The 17,407-nt window shown below is 40.0% G+C and overlaps 1 protein-coding gene and 1 pseudogene across 8 annotated transcripts in view; both read right to left on the bottom strand.

The window, feature by feature from the left end:
* The window catches only part of BCAS3 (BCAS3 microtubule associated cell migration factor), a 714,981-nt gene that overhangs the window by 571,030 nt on the left and 126,544 nt on the right, over positions 1-17,407 (bottom strand). For all 8 annotated transcript variants that reach the window (NM_001353144.2, NM_001353145.2, NM_001330413.2 and 5 more), the window contains exon 7: positions 13,726-13,798. In NM_001353144.2, coding sequence (NP_001340073.1) covers positions 13,726-13,798 — 73 coding nt within the window. The remainder of the gene's footprint in view (positions 1-13,725; positions 13,799-17,407) is intronic.
* On the bottom strand, positions 10,284-11,687 carry KRT18P61 (keratin 18 pseudogene 61; annotated as a pseudogene).

Below are 17,407 nucleotides of genomic sequence, written 5' to 3'. Positions count from 1 at the left end.
CAGTGGGAGGATCGTTTGGGCCCAGGAGGCAGAGGTTGCAGTGAGCCGAGATTGCACCACAGTACTCCAGCCTGGGTGACAGAAGGAGTCTCTGTCACAAAAAAAAAACTATTGATACATGTAATATCATGGCTGAATCTCAAAATAAATACGCTGAGTAACCAAAGCTAGACAAAAAAAGAGTACATACTATATGATTCCACTTATATAAAACTTTAGAAAACGCAAACTAATCTATAGTAACAGAAAGTAGAACATTGGTTATCTTGAAGAAAAGAGCTGGGAGGGGCCAAAGGAAGAATTACAAAGAGACATGAGGAAACTTTGGGGAATAAGATGTTCATTGTCTTGTTTGTAGAAAGAGTTTCAAAGGTATATACACATCAAACACATAATATTATACACTTTAAATATGTATAGTTCATTGAATTTCAATTATACAATAATTAAATGTATGTATGTATGTATGTATGACCTCACACACTGCAGTCTTTCCTGCTACAATTATGATTCTCAATGAGAAATAATGTCAGTACATCAAAGAAGTTGTATTATGGCCAGGTGAGGTGGCGCATGCCTGTAATCCCAGCGCTTTAGAAGGCTGAGGCAGGTGGATCACCTGAGGTCAGGAGTTCAAGACCATCCTGGCCAACATGGTGAAACCCCATCTCTACTAAAAATACAAATATTAGCCAGGCATGATGGCAAGCACCTGTAATCCCAGCTACTTGGGAGGCTGAGGCAGGAGAATCACTTGAACCCGGGAGGCGGAGGTTGCAGTGAGCCGAGATTGTGCCACTGCCCTCCAGCCTGGGCGACAAGAGCAAAACTCCGTCTCAAAAAAAAAGTTAGTTTTATTAATAAATAAAATTCATACCATTTTACTTTTTTGTACTATAATTTAACAGCAACTGAATACAAAGTACATTAGATCAACTGAATGTAGAAAACCAGGAGAAATCATGTTTTTCATGGCTCAGTTTAACCATGTCCTCTGGTTTGAAAGTGCTTAAAGAGTGTTACTCCCTGGTCTTTGTCCATTTTGTTCTTTTCTCCATAACGTAACAGTCTCAACTCTTTCTTATACCCCCATTCCATCAGGGCATCTTTGTCTTTTTTTAGGTAAAATCTTTTACTTTTTAAATTTTTTTAATTAGCATTAAAACAACTTTTAAATGTTCTAATTTTGTATTCAAATTATTGTTCTGAAAACAATGTTGCATACATTTTCACCAAGCCTATTTCTATCCATTTTAGTGTGAAATTTTGTAGAATGAAGTGTACTGCCCCTCCAAATACACACTGCATTCTCTATATCTTGTTCCTTGCCTTGGGAGACTGAGCCATATCCTATGAATTGCATCAGTGGGCTCTCTGGACCTTCAGAATCCAGCCCCTAGTTTCTGACTGGGATGACCCCATAGGAAGCCTCTGGAGAAATAAGATGCCCCACCGTCGGCTGGGCACGGTGGCTCACGCCTGTAATCCCAGCACTTTGGGAGGCCAAGGCGGGCAGATCACAAGGTCAGGAGATCAAGACCATCCTGGCTACTAAAAATACAAAAAATTAGCCGGGCGTGGTGGCGGGTGCCTGTAGTCCCAGCTACTCGGGAGGCTGAGGCAGAATGGCATGAACCCGGGAGGCAGAGCTTGCAGTGAGCCAAGATCGTGCGACTGCACTCCAGCCTGGGCAACAGAACGAGACTCTGCCTCAGAAAAAAAAAAAAAGAAAAAAAGATGTCCCACTGTCAGGTTACTGAAGATAGGCTAAATCCATCCACCAGAGGCCACAGTTCCTGTTGCTAACCCTCTTCATATCGCTTTCTCTGCAGGCTTTACTAAGGGTTATCTCCTCTTGCTTAGAAATGATAATAAACCAGGCATGGTGGCTCACGCCTGTAGTCCTAGCTATTAAGGAGGCTGAGGTGTGAGGACTGTTTGATTCCATGAGTTTGAGGCTACAGTGAGCTAGGATCAAGCCATTGCCTTCAGTCTGGGTTACAGAGTAAGATCCTGTCTCAGAAAGAGAGTGAGGAAGAAAGGAAGGAGAGGGGGAGGGTAGGAGGGAAGAGAAGGGGAGGGGAAGGGAGGAAGGATAATGAGTCTCAGCTCCCACATGTGTTATTTTATTTAAACTCTCTTTGAATCACCCAATTTGAGTATGCTATCTGTTTCCAGCAAGGGCCCTAACAGCACAGATTTTCAGGAATACACATATCAAACAGCAAGTAAAGCAATTCTGTAAGAAATTAAACCAGCATTCCTTTGGTTTGGTCACCTGCAAATAACCATTTTGGTAAACCATTTGAGATCTGTACCAATTTCAATATCACAAGAAAATATACAAAGTCTGAAATATAATCTCACACAGTCTTTAGATGTGTCCATAGTTTAAATATTATAGTTTAAAATAAATATATAAACAACTAGCCCATGGTTACAATTTTACAATGTAATATGTGTATTCCTTGACACTGACAGACTACTCTTAACCTCCCACTGAGATTTGTTCAGCATGTGTTTTAAAATTGTATTAAGTGTCAGTCAGGTGTGTAATGTTCCGGGCCCTTTGCCTTATCACCAAACAAAAACTAAAAATTTGCTTTAAGTAATTAAGTGAACTGGGGTCATGAAAAATGTACACAATTAGCATTTATACTAGTGACTCCTGTTTATCAAAGACAATGTTAACATTTTAAGACATATTATAAAAAACATCCCTAAGCCACATGAGAAAGAGTAATTAAATAGAAGTAACAGTAAAGTCATCTTATTTCCCTAAGATTTCCTACATCCATAATCAGATAAACAGAGATCATATCTAGCATGCACTGAGGTCTTCGTGGTTCTAAGTTAATACTAAAGCCCAGAGCCCCATAGATCATCTACGTTATTGGATCACCTGGTATGCTAACCCATCCCATTAAAAACGTCTCTATGCCAGTGCGGCAGCTGTCAGCATAAACGGTATACCTAAGATGTAAAGCTCTTTCTTTGAGCAGTAAAGACAGCCACAGAGCCATGGCAGAGAGCTAGAAGAAAACCCAGGTACCCACAGAAAGCCTGAAAAATGCCAGAGAGATGGGCAAATGAAAGACTTGGTGTCTGGATTTGGTGCCAAGGAACTGCTGGAAGAGTCCATGTCTACAAGCAGCAAAGACTGGGAAAACGGCATAAATCTACTTTGCTGCCTATGGAGATAATATCGGTCAGAACTCGCAAACACAACTGACAAAAATCAGTCAAAATTGAAAGCATCAGGTATCATATATAAGGGCTCTGGGATTTTTCATGACAAAAAGAAGAGTCACATACCGACTATCCCAAGCAATATGCTTCTACTTCTAATTATTTAATAACATAACCCTTATTTACATTAGACAAACGTTGAAATAAAGTCACTGCAGTACCACTTCAGGATGGTGACACTGCGCTTCACCTCCACCTAATAACTGCAGCTTTAGGAAACTGGTTTCCACATACCACTCCATGAACTTCTGCCAATCCAAGATGATGCTTTTGCCAGTTTGTAATAATGAGAGGAAAATATTAATATTGTGAATTAACTGTATTCTATTTAATAAACAGTCAATTTTGAAATTAAGTCATTCCTCCTATTTAGCTATTAAGATTATTTTGCTTTTCTCAGCTGGGTGCAATGGCTCACATCTGTAATCCCAGCACCTTGGGAGGCCAAGGCGGATGGATCACTTGAGCCCAGGAGTTCAAGACCAGCCTGGCCAACATGGGGAAACCCTATCTCTACTAAAATTACAAAAATTAGCAGGGCATGGTGGCGCATGTCTGTAGAACTAGCTACCTGGGAGGCTGTGGCAGGAGAATTTCTTGAACCCAGGACGTGGAGGTTGCAGTGAGCCAAGATCACGCCACTGCACTCCAGCCTGGGTGACAGAGTGAGACTCTGCCTCAAAAAAAAAAAAAAAAATTATTTTGCTTTTCTCAAAGTAAATTTAAAGTATTAACTGATAGTCAATTATAATTTTTTCATATGTTCTTGCTTGGCAAAAGACTAATTTTTCTGATTCTTAAAATCCAGTCTTGGAAACAATGGCCATAGAAAGCCTATATAACGAGCGATAAGGGATTCCTAACCAACTGAGATGAAGAAATTTTCACTCACTCTTACAAGAATTTTTTCCCACCACAGTGATGCGTGATGGGAGCCTCTGGACAAACATTTAACCTCTTTTCTTCATCTACAACACAAGGCAGTTAAATGACATAATCTACAAGGTTCTTTCCACTTCCAATAGTCTATGATTCTCTCTACATAAAGGTCATATTTTCACGTAATGTGTGTAATGTGATCATAATATATTGGATTAAACATTCTTCAAGGTCTGCAGTCAGCTCTTGAATAATGTTACTCATTTGCTATTACTCATAGTAGCCAACAAGATCCTAACCATAAATAGCTACATTCTGGGAACTGTTTAGCATATAACACACAATAAACTTTGGTTTCCTCCCTCTCTCACATTATTACACAAGACACTGCCTTAGTTTCTGGATCAGTGGCACAATAAACATTATCCCTTTCCAAGAGCTTAAATGACTTATCTGGAATTATTATGGTATGATCTCTCAAAACACAACGAAACAAAACACTAGAATACCTAAATAAATGGCATTTTAATGACTGTCATCAATGCAGTAAGAGAGAGTATGTTAAATTTTGGGCTGGGGCAATGTATTTATTACTAAAGGATAAAATATGAACAACTGGGATTATTTGGTGAGAGCTAATTATGCAAATTGGGTCATTTTTGTCTTACCCAACTAAATCAGAGTTGAGGGGCCAGTGGGGGAAAGCACTTGGGGCACATAGCACCTGCTCCAAAAATTAGCCGTAAAGCCCAGCTGCTGAAACTGCCTGCTATAACCCTAAGATCAGTTATAACTAGTAACTGCTGAAACGAACCGGCATAACTCCACCATTGTCACTCTAGCGCCAATGAGCTTTCTTCTAAAACAATATGTTGCATTTCTCTAATTTCCCAAGCTTTTCTTTGTTCTTCAGACATAACAAAACCACCCCAAACTGTGTATGTGGCCCCAAATTGCAATTCTGTTTTATGTACATTCTCAAATAAAATGTTTTGCATAGAGATTCATCTCTGTATTTTTATTTTGACTTTGACTGACACTTTCCATAGCAATTCCCCTCTTCTTAGAAAAGGCACTATGAATTTATAAAAATGAAAAGCTGGCCAGCCGCGGTAGTGCACGCCTGTAATCCCAGCATTTTGGGGGGCCGAGGCGGGCGGATCACGAGGTCAGGAGATCGGGACCATCCTGGCCAAAATGGTGAAACCCCATCTCTACTAAAAATACAAAAATTAGCTGGGCGTGGTGGTGCACACCTGTAGTCCCAGCTACTAGGGAGGCTGAGGCAGGAGAATCGCTTGAACCCGGGAGGTGGAGGTTGCCGTGAGCTGAGATCACGCCACTGCACTCCAGTCTGGCGACAGAGCAAGACTCCGTCTCAAAAAAAAAAAAAAGAAAAGAAAAAGAAAGAAAAGTTATACATCAAAAGAAAATCTTAGTGAATTTTCCCAAGAATAATTTAATAGGCAGTATTAGTTGTGAATATAAGCAACTTGACAAAGTCTAAACTACATGGGTGTTCAATAAAGTATGTGCCAGGGAGCTGGAGAGCAACCTGGACATCCCACTCCTCTCCAAATGGAGGGATGTCCTAAGGTTTTGTACCCAACTGGCTACGAAAATGTAAATACCCAGGTACAGTACATATGATTCCTTAGATTAAGAGATATTCTCAGTCATAAAAAAGTGATACTAAAAAATAAAGGATGAGTATAACTACTCGTATAGGAAGCTTCCTAAAATTCACTTAGGCAAAATATATATATATTCGAGGGTCTCCTAGATATAGGGCACTGCGCTTAATACCAAGAAAGAAATAAAGATGGGCAAGATAAAGAAAACATTCTCAAGGTACATGTGAAACTGAAGAATGTCTCTAAGCAGACACTTCATGATTATGTGTGGCTTTCTCCATCTCCATTTGATGCAGTCACTATTCTATTTGCTGTCTTGTAACTATGTATTCTCCTACTCTTTCCATTATTTCAGACTTCATTGGCTCCCTGAATGGTTCCTCGTATCACCTATATTTATGCCTATAAACTGAGTCTCATTAACTTAAATTATTTTGGAAGCATTACATCTTCTGTTCTACATCATCAGTTGCCTGCTGTTTTTTGTTACTTTATTTAAAAAACTGGAAGCAGGTGAAGGAATCTGCCCATTCTTGAAATTACTTTGTATTGGACATAAGTTGGCACTGGACTTTTTTTTTTCCTTTTTTTTTATTATTACACTTTAAGTTCTAGGGTACATGTGCACAACGTGCAGGCTTGTTACATACGTATACACGCGCCATGTTAGTGTGCTGCACCCATTAACTCGTCATTTATATTAGGTATATCTCCTAATGCTATTCCTCTCCCCTCCCCCAACCCCATGACAGGCCCCGGTGTGTGATGTTCCCCTTCCTGTGTCCAAGTGTTCTCATTGTTCAATTCCCACCTATGAGTGAGAACATGCAGTGTTTGGTTTTTTGTCCTTGCAACAGTTTGCTGAGAATGATGGTTTCCAGCTTCATCCATGTCCCTACAAAGGACATGAACTCATCCTTTTTTATGGCTGCATAGTATTCCATGGTGTATATGTGCCACATTTTCTTAATCCAGTCTATCATTGATGGACATTTGGGTTAGTTCCAAGTATTTGCTATTGTAAATAGTGCTGCAATAAACGTGCATGTGTCTTTATAGCAGCATGATTTATAATCCTTTGGGTATATATCCAGTAATGGGATGGCTGGATCAAATGGTATTTCTAGTTCTAGATCCTTGAGGAATCTAGAAGGCACAGGACTTTTAAATAATAGTGTTCCTGAAATTAGTGACCACAATTTTCTAATAGCCATGTCCTTCTTATATTATTGCTATCATGTAAAGGAGACTTCCTTTGAATTCATTAAACAATGTGTTTAAATGAAGAAAAAAATACTAAAATAAAATTGGAGAAGTCCTTTTCCACACTGAAAAATTCTAAGTAACTAAATGGTATACGTCAAACGTACTAAAATAACAAAAGTATCTTTTGCTTATGCAGAAACACTGCATCAAAATATACGCCTAACACAAAGACTCTCTTAAGAAGCTACTGTTTGCCAGAGCAATCAGGCAAGAGAAAGAAATAAAAGGCATTCAAATAGGAAAAAAGAAAAAAGCCAAATTATCTCTCTTCACTGGCAATATGATTATATACCTAGAAGACCCGAAAGACTCCACCAAAAGGCTTCTAGAACTAATAAAAAATTTCAGTAAGTTTCAGGATAAAAAAAAATAAAGGTAGTAAAATCAGTAACATTTCTATATACAAATAACGTCCAAACTGAGAGCTAAATCAAGAATGCAATCCCATTTGCAATGGGCACGCGCGCACACACACACACACACACACACACACACACACACACAAAATACCAAGAAATACATCTAATGAACAAGGTTAAAGATATAAGGAGAACTACAAGACAATGCTGAAAGAAAGCAGAGATGATACAAACAAATGGAAAAACATTCTATGCTCATGGATTGGAAGAATAAATATTGTTAAAATGGTCAAACTACCCAAAGCAATCTATAGATTTAATACTATTCCTATCAAACTACCAATGTCACTTTTCTCAAAATTAGAAAAACAACTACTCTAAAATTCATATAGAACAAAAAAGAGCCTGAAAAGCCAAAGCAATCCCAGGCAAAAAGAACAAAGCTGAGACATTATATTACCTGACTTCAAACTATACTATAAGGCTACAGTAACCAAAACAGCATGGTGCCAGCACAAAAACAGATACAGAGACCAATGGAACAGAAAAGAGAACCCAGAAATAAAGCTGCATATATCTACAACCATCTAATCTTCAACAAAGTCGACAATGACAAGCAATGGGGAAAGGACTCCCTAAACTATAAAAATCCTAGAAGAAAACCTAGGAAATACCATTCTGGACACTGGCCTTGGCAAAGTCCTCAAAAGCAATTGCAACAAAAACAAAATCGACAATTGGGAACTAATTAAAGAGCTTCTGCACAGCAAAAGAGACTATCAACAGAGCAAACAATCTACAGACCTTTGTTGGATGCACAGTTTGTGAATATCTGTAGTGAATATTTTTTGTGAATATTTATAGATTCACAAATATTCACTAACTATGCACCCAACAAATATCTAATATCCAGAATCTATAACGAATTTAAACAATTCAACAAGCAAAAAACAATGCCATTAAAAAGTGGGCAAAAGACATTAACAGACACTTCTCAAAAGAAGACATACAAAGATTAGCCAGGCAAGGTGGCATACACCTGTAGTCCTAGGTACTCTGGCAGGGATAAACAAATTGCTTAATTGCTCCTAACATAACCTCCTTTTTTTTTTTTTAAGAAATCTTTGTTACCTCTGAAAATAACTGGTCAGAAAATTGTAAATATATAAATCTGAGGTTAGGGCACTCTTAATACAGTCTATAGACGGAATATGCCTGTGTATGTATAGAGGAATGCCCTCCATAATGACAAACAGTATGGTTACTGGAAAGAACATAGCTTGAGGGTCAAGCAAAAGCCTGGGTCCATGACTAACTGTGTGACTGAACCTCTATTAGCTTCTGCATGCATAAAATAAGAATAATATGATTGGACCAGATGTGGTGGCTCATACTTGTAATTGCAACATTTTGGCAGGCTGGGATAGGAGGATTGCTTGAAGCCAGGAGTTCAAGACCAGCCTGGGTAACATCGTGGGAACTTATCTCTTAAAAAAAGAAATTTTTTTTAATTAGCCCAACAGTGGCATAACTTATAGTCCCAGCTACTCAGGAGGCTGAGATGGGAGGATCTCTTGAGCCCAGGAGTTCCAGATTATAGTGAGCTATGATTGGACCACTGCACCTGGGCCTGGGTGACCGAGGGAGACTCTGTCTCTAAAATAAATAAATGAACACACAAACTTAATTGTCATAAACTCAACTGTACATATGTATATATGTATGTATGTATGTATGTATTGACTCATGGATTGTTGATAGCACTCAAGTTCCTAGTATACTTTATCTACCTAAAAGCAGAGCAGAGCCCTCCAAAAAACTTCATTTGTCATAAATCTCCTCCCCTGGAGCAACTTAATCTCTTCTAGGACCACTCCCAAACAGATATTGTTACAAAACTATCACATCTCCTGTCTTTTCTCCTAAGGACCACCTTAATTTTCCAAAAAGTCACAAGTGCCCTTCCTTCTGCTCCCATTCTAAGAAGTCATTTGTTCTACAAAATGTGCCCTTCTACAAATTGTGTCCCTCTCCATCCCCATCTCCTACTGAGATGATATATAAGCCACCTTAAGTCACATTTTTTTGCAAACTCCTATATGTACATATGTAATTAAATCTGATTTTTTGTCCTCTTGCTAATCTGCCTTTCGTCAGTTTAAATTGCAGCCCTCTCCCCAAAGAATTTAAGAGAGAAAAGTATTCCTCCCCAACAGTAGCTACTAAAGAGTCTACTCTATTCAACATCACCATATGCTCACCTACTACAAACATTTAGACAAAAACTTAACAACAAGACATATTAGGTCTACATCCATAAAACAACTTATGAAAACAACTTATGAACTTTTTTTTTTTTTTTGAGACTGGGTCTCACTCTGTCACCCAGGCTGGAGTGCAGTGGTGAGATCTGGGCTCACTGCAACCTCTGCCTCCCAGGCTCAAGCAATCCTCCCACCTCAGCCTCCCAAGTAGCTGGGACCACAGGCGTGTGCCATCATGCCCAGCTAATTTTTTTGTATTTTTTTTGGTAGAGACAGGGTTTCACCATGTTGCCCAGGCTGCTCTTGAACTTCTGAGCTCAAGCGATCCGCTGGCCTTGGCCTCCCAAAGTGCTGGGATTATAGGCATGAGCCACTGCATCCAGGCCTATTTCACTTTCTATATCTTTTATATCCTTTCAACAGCAGAAGTTCCATTTGAGTTTTATATAAATTCTAACTCCTTGTTGAGATTATCTATTTGTTGAGTTATTGCTATAACCCTTTCCTTTAATTCTTTATACATAGTTCATTTAGTTCTTAGAACACATTTATAATAGCTGCTTTAAAATCTTTGTAAAATTTAACATCTGGAGACAACCACATAAGATTTCTTTTTTCTTTTTTTTTTTTACCTCTGAACTTTTCATTGGCCTCCTGGCTCCCCAAAGGGTACACTGCTTCTGCTGGCTTAATGTCTCAGAACTTTGATGTCGCTGGTCTCAGACACCACTTTGCCATCCACTATCCTGGGAGAGGTGGTCTTCTGGATGGTTTGCCTGGAGTTGCTGCTGTCTGGGGTATCACCAAGACTGAAGTCCTCACCATCTTCCAGCAGGTGACAGTAGGTGGTGATCTCAGTCTCCAGCTTGACCTTGATGTTCAGCAGGGCCTCCTACTCCTGGGCCTGGCGCTGTCCCTCTGCAGGGTCTGTGCCAGCTCTGACTCTAGGTGCAGCAGGATCCAGTCTACAGGATCTGCCCCATCTGCAGGGTGTAGTGGGCCTCCACCTCCCTCAGGCTGTTCTGCAAGCTGGCCTTCAGATTTCTCATGCAGTCCAGGTCAATATCCAAGAACTGGACTGTACGTCTCAGCTCCATGAGAATCAACGCAGCAGCTCCAACCTCGGCAGACTGCATGGTGACCACTGTGGTGCTCTCTTCAATCTGCTGAGACTAGTACTTGTCCAGCTCCTCTTGGTTCTTCTGAGCCAGTTCGTCATATTGGGCCCAGATGTCTGCCATGATCTTGGTGAGATCCTGAGATTTGGGGGCATCTACCTCCATGGTCAACCCAGAGCTGGCAGTCTGGGCTTGTAGGACTTTTACTTCCTCTTCGAGGTTTTTCTTCAGGAAGAGCAGCTCCTCCTTGAGAGCCTTGATCTCTGTCTCCAGCTGAAGCTGAGTGACATTGGTGTCATCAGTGACCTTGCAGAGCCCATGGATGTCCCTCTCCACAGACTAGGGCATGGCCAGCTCTGTCTCATACTTGACTCTAAAGTCATCAGCAGCAACACAGGCACTGTTGATTTGCAGAACGATGCAGGCACTGTCCACAGTATTTGGGAAGATCTGAGCCCTCAGGTCCTCGATGGTCTTGAAGTAATGGCTCCAGTCTCTGACCTGGGGTCCCTTCTTCTCCAGGTGCTCCTGGGTTTTGCTCTCCAGCTTCTGGTTTCCGGTCTCCACGCTCCTTGCTCTGTCCAGGCAGGAGGCCAGGCAATCGTCCAGGCTTTGCATGGTCTCTTTCTCATTCTGGATGCCTCTCAGTCCTGCCAGACCCCCCGCCATCCCCACAACCAGGCCCCTGGACCCCATGCCACCCCAGAAGTTGGTGGAGTGGGACACGGAGATCCGGGAACCAGAGCCCCTGGTGCCTGCACAGACACTGGCCACACTGCTGACTGGCTGGGTGCCATAGCTGGGCACCTGCACAGAGCCCAGAGACTGGTAGTTTGGTGGAGAACGTGGAGCAAGTGGTGAAGCTCATGCTGTCCAGTGGGGAGAGTGAGAGGACAGGACTCAGGCTTTTCTGAAGACCAGTCAGGTATGATTTCTATTGTCTGCCTTTTTCTCACTGCCACAACTTCCTGTTTCTTGGCATGTGTCATAATTTTATATTTAAAAATAGACATTTTATATAATACAGTATAACATTACTCTGGATTCTATGAAATCTGTCTTCTTCCACAATTTGCAGTTGCTGATTTCTCTGTTCAGTTTTATTATTTCTTTTATTCTTGCATTACTTTAAAGCCTGACTTTCAGGGTCTGGCCATGCATCTATGTATCTTAGTGGGCAGCCAACTACTCAACAGAGGATTCACTCAAATACCCCAGGTCAACAAAAGTTGTTTTCCTTTGCCAAAGGATCTGCACATCTATTCAGATTTTTCTTCCCCCTGGACCCTTTTTCATGGCTCCTCTGCATATGCATGAAGCCTCAGCTAACCATTATCTTAGGCTGAAAGAGCCAATGGCTCTCAAAGCACACATGTCATCAAGACAGTAATTTCTGCAGATAATGCTGGCAGGCATATGCAATACCTGCCACTCAGAGATGAGCGAAAATTTTCCAAGCACAGCAGGTAAGGTACTAGTCCTCAAAACCTTTCTCACCCTGGAAGACACTCTATAACCAACCAACCAACCAACCAACCCTGGAAGAGGGAAAGTGTGGAGTGGGACAGGAGCAGCTGCAGGCATGAATGCCACAGATTCCCACTGTTATTGTGCAAAGATTAGCAGTTTCTCAAGCTTAAACACTTTTCAGATTATTATATGCTTTTGGTTGAGTTTCAGAGTACTGCAATAGTTGTTTTCATCTGTTTTGCAGATGGCATTAAATCTAAGTCACAAACTCTCTCTTTTTTTTTTTTTTTTTGAGACAGAGTCTCACTGTTGCCCAGGCTGGAGTACAGTGGTGCACTGCAACCTCTGCCTCCCAGGTTCAAGCAATTCTCGTGCCTCAGCCTTCCGGGTAGTTGGGGTTATAGGCACATGCCACCACACTGGGCTAATTTTTGTATTTTTAGTAGAGACAGGGTTTCACCTTGTTGGCAAGGCTGGTCTCAATCTCCTGACCTCAAGTGATCTGCCTGCCTCAGCCTCCCAAAGTGCTGGGATTACAGGCGTGAGTCACCATGCCTGGCCCACAAACTCTTACCATTCTTAAATGTATTTATTTCAGTTTCTCTTCCACTACTATATTATAACCTACCCTGGCAGTCCTTCTCATCTGCTGCAATATTTCCCATTCCTTAAGATCTAACCTATGCTGCTCCTTCTCCATGAGGCTTTTTCTCATTAATTCATGCACACTGATCTCTCCCTTCTCTGCATTCCTGTCATACATCATTATTTCATAATTATTTTGCATGTGTTGTACTTTTTCTTTTCAGCCACATTCATAAGTCTCTGGGGAAAGAAATTAGGCTTTCATGATTTTGTATCCTTATCCTACACCCGGCAAAGTGCTGAGTATACAGTAAATTCTCAAAGGCTTTATGTCTTCTTCAATCGAAAAATTTACACTTGAAGAAATTTGTCTTGTAGCCTATGAAGTCAAACAGTACCATTAGGAAACAATAATCAAGACTCCATGACCTAACCATGTTATATTATTAACATGTTCTTCCTTTCTCCAATGCCACATGATCTGAAGTGCACACTATTTACTGAAAGCATGAGGCCAAGACTGCTAGTAGCCAACCTAATATCCATTTTGATAATTTTCCTTACTAACAAAACCATAATCATTCCTAGCTTTCCTTGCAGCCAGAAGTTCAATTTGAGGGAATGCACTAACTGGAAAGATATTTGTATTTGTTCACAGTATTGTGGTAATAAATAAAAAAGAAAATTCACACAACACCTTTAGAACAGTGTCAGGCACATGCTATAGCATCAATAAATGTCATTTACTGTTGGAAACCCTAAATATGTTTTACTTTCTTCTTCTTCTCTCTTATGAGAGCTTAGTCTTATGGTTACAAAGGTTTTATAACATCAAAGTTCTCCCTCTGGAATAATATAAATTTGTAATAGGTGATACAAAGAATTTTTAAAATTTCCTTACCCAGAAGATCCAATGCTCTTACAAACACCAAGGAGGGGTCTTTTTTCAGCAAAGTTATCACATTTTTGAGCACCTGACAGGAAGGATAAAATAAATTGTAAGCTTTGAGGAATATTATTGTATAATTCCCACTATTTTCATGCTTTCAAAATACTTGAAAAGGAGAAGTATTCATTATAAGTTGACATAATTTATACAATTGAATAAAAAGAAGAAAAGCTACTATATAAAATCATCATATATTATATATATGTAATCATTTTAAAAACTGAACCAGCATTTTTTTTTTTTTTTTGAGACAGAGTCTCGCTCTGTCACCCAGGCTGGAGTGCAGTGGCACGATCGCAGCTCACTGCAACCTCTGCCTCCCGGGTTCAAACAATTCTCCTGCCTCAGCCTTCTGAGTAGCTGGGACTACAGGCACGTACCACCATGCCCGGCTAATTTTTGTATTTTTAGTAGAGACAGGGTTTCGCCATGTTGGTCAGCCTGGTCTCACACTCCTGACCTCAAGTGATCCACCCGCCTCAACCTCCCAAAGTGCTGGGATTACAGGCGAGAGCCACAATGGCCAGCCTGAACTGGCATTTTTTTTAAGTTTCAATTGGCACCAATTTCAATCTTATACACCTTCCCCATGAGATCAGAAAACCATCCCATACCCCACCAACTAATTACCTAAAACTAGTAATAATATTGATGTCGAAACTAAATAAAGGTAGTTCAAGACAAGAAAATTATAAAACTATAGGTCATTCCCATTGATATACATAGTTGCAAAAATCCTAAACAAAATATCAGCAAATTAAATAGCAACATATATGAAAAAAATAAACTCTCATAACTGAATTAGATTTACCTAAGCAACAGTAATAGTTTGGCAGTATAAAATCTATTAATGTAATTAATGATATTAATATTTCAGCAGATGCAGAAAAAGCATTCAATTAGACTCTATACCTAATCATATGAACAAAAAAAAATAACAAAAATATCTTTTTTAACCTAATAATGATCATCTACAAAAGATCTACAGCAAATGTCACAGGTAATGGTTCAGAGTATTCCTATTAACAGCAATAATAATACAAGAATATCCAGAGTTGCTGCTCCCATCAAGTCCTAAGTCCACATAATAATAGTAAGTGAACTCAACAATATTACAGGATACAAAACCAATATAATATGAACAAGAAGCAAAAAAAGTAAAGTCAGGAAATATAAATGGTTCTGAATCATATGAAAAGGTGCTCTGTGCCTGCTCACGCCTGTACTCTCAACACTTTGGGAGGCGGAGGCAGGAGGATCACTTGAGACAGGGCAAAACTCTGTATCTACAAACAATAAAAACAAAAAATTAGTTGGGTATGGTGGCACACTCCTGTAGCCCTAGCTACTCAGGAGGCTGAAGTAGGAGGACCCTCTGAGCCCCCAGAGTTGGGGGCTGCAGTGAGCTATAATTGTGCCACTGCATTCCAGCCTGGATGACAGAGCAAGAATCAGTCTCAAAAAAAAAAAAAAGATTAAGAAGAAAAAATGCTCAACCTCACACATGACAGAAATTCCTTAAAACTATATTGATAATGATATTAAGGAGCTCAGGACAAACCACTCCAAAATATGCCTCTTTGGCATATTGATTATTTGGGCTAAAAGCATTTGAAAAACAGCAGATGTAAGAAAGACACGCTGACCGGCTCTTTGATTCCTGAAAGGAAGCCCCCAAGTGAAAGATGACCTTCCTACATACCAAGAAGAAACATTTTAATCACCAGAGATGTGAAGGCAAGGATGAAAGAAATCTGTATAAATGAACATTGTTAAACTAGCCCTTATCTTCCCAGATACCTTTCCATAAATGTCATTCTTTGTTCAACCTAGCATGTAATAATTTAGGCCGAAGCCGGGCACAGTGGCTCACGCCTGTAATCCCAGCACTTTGGGAGGCCGAGGCGGGTGGATCACCTGAGGTCAGGATGCGAGACCAGCCTGGCCAACATGGTGAAACCCCATCTCTAGTTTAAAAAAAAAAAATACAAAAATATAAAAATTAGCGCGAGCATGGAGGCAGGCGCTGTAATCCCAGCTACTTGGGAGGCTGAGGCAGACTAGCTTGAACCCAGGAGGCAGAGGTTACAGTGAGCCAAGATCATGCCAACGCCAGCACTCCATCCTGAGGGACAGAGCAAGGCTCCGTCTCAAAAAAAAAAAAAAAAAAACTTAGGCTGAGTCACTTCTCTTTTTTTTTTACAGATGGAGTCTCACTCTGTCACCCAGGCTGGAGTGCCATGGCAGATCTGGGCTCGCTGCAACCTCCGCCTCCCAGGTTCGAGCTATTCTCCTGCCTCAGCCTTCCAAGTAGCTGGGATTACAGGTGCCCGCCACCATGTCCGGCTAATTTTTTGTATTTTAGTAGAGCCGGGGTTTCACCGTGTTGCCCAGGCTGATCTTGAACTCCTGAGTTCAAGCAGTCCTCCTGCCTCGGCCTCCCAAAGTGCTGGGATTACAGGCGTGAGCCACCGCGCCCAGCCGCCACTTCCTTAAGTCTTCATTTCCCTGTTCGGACACACATGCACATGTAAATTTTATGAAATAAAAATTTGTATGCTTTTCTCCTGTTAATTTATCTTATGTCAGTTTAATTTTTTGGCCCACCCAGAGACCCTGAGAGGTCAGAGAAGTTTTCCTCCCCTACAATACTGTGGTTACATTTTTAAGATACCTTATCTTTTAGAAACAAGTGAGGGAATGTTAACCAATAAACTGATATGATATCTAGGAAGGGTTCAAAATAATCTAGAGGGAGGGAAATAAATGCTAATGAAACAAGAATAGTCATAAAATGATGACTGGTGGGTTCCTTAGGGATCATCGCACTATTCACACTACCTTTAAATAAGTCAGACATTTTCTACTTAAAAATTTTTAACTACATATATTTATATACATATAAATATGTTATTTATATAACGATAACTATATATCTTTAAAATTGTGTGAGTGTGTGTGTGTGTGTGTATTTACTTAAGCATGCTAAGTCAGACTGATGACTGATGCAGCAGTCAGAAGTAAAAGTGCAAGGTAGTGCTTGGGGGAAAAAAAAAAACCCGACACTCAAATTAGTTTACATCACAGGATCTTTAAAAGCCACAATAATTGACAATAGCAGGTACTAAATGTGATAGGAGATGAAGCTAAAATAAAAAGGACTATATAACTAAATTTAACTACATATATTGACACTTATTTAAGAGCTCCTTAAAAAATCCAAAAATTTGATTAAATTTTCTCACATTAATCAAAATTGAAATACAAATACCCCTTAATCCAAGTTCACCCTACACATATACTCAGACATGAGATAAATAACTTGTATATAAGATTATTCACAACAGTATTGTTTATAATAGCAAAAGACTGAAAAAAAATCAAGTTACAATAGAATATTTCCTACCGCTGCAAAACAACACAACGAATTACACTATAAAAACATGGAATGAGATAGAAGATATAAAGTGGAAAAAAGGAATACATACAACCATAGGAAGATACAGAATAATATACTACCTTTTGTTTTTTGTGTGTGTGTTCTTGTTTTTCTTTTGAGATGGAGTCTCCCCAAGGCTGGAGTGCAATGGCATGATCTCGGCACACTGCAACCTCTGTCTCCAAGGTTCAAACG

This window comes from Homo sapiens, chromosome 17, assembly GCF_000001405.40.
Source record: "Homo sapiens chromosome 17, GRCh38.p14 Primary Assembly".
In the NCBI taxonomy this organism is placed as follows: domain Eukaryota; kingdom Metazoa; phylum Chordata; class Mammalia; order Primates; family Hominidae; genus Homo; species Homo sapiens.
This window is presented reverse-complemented; position numbering and strand designations above follow the sequence as displayed.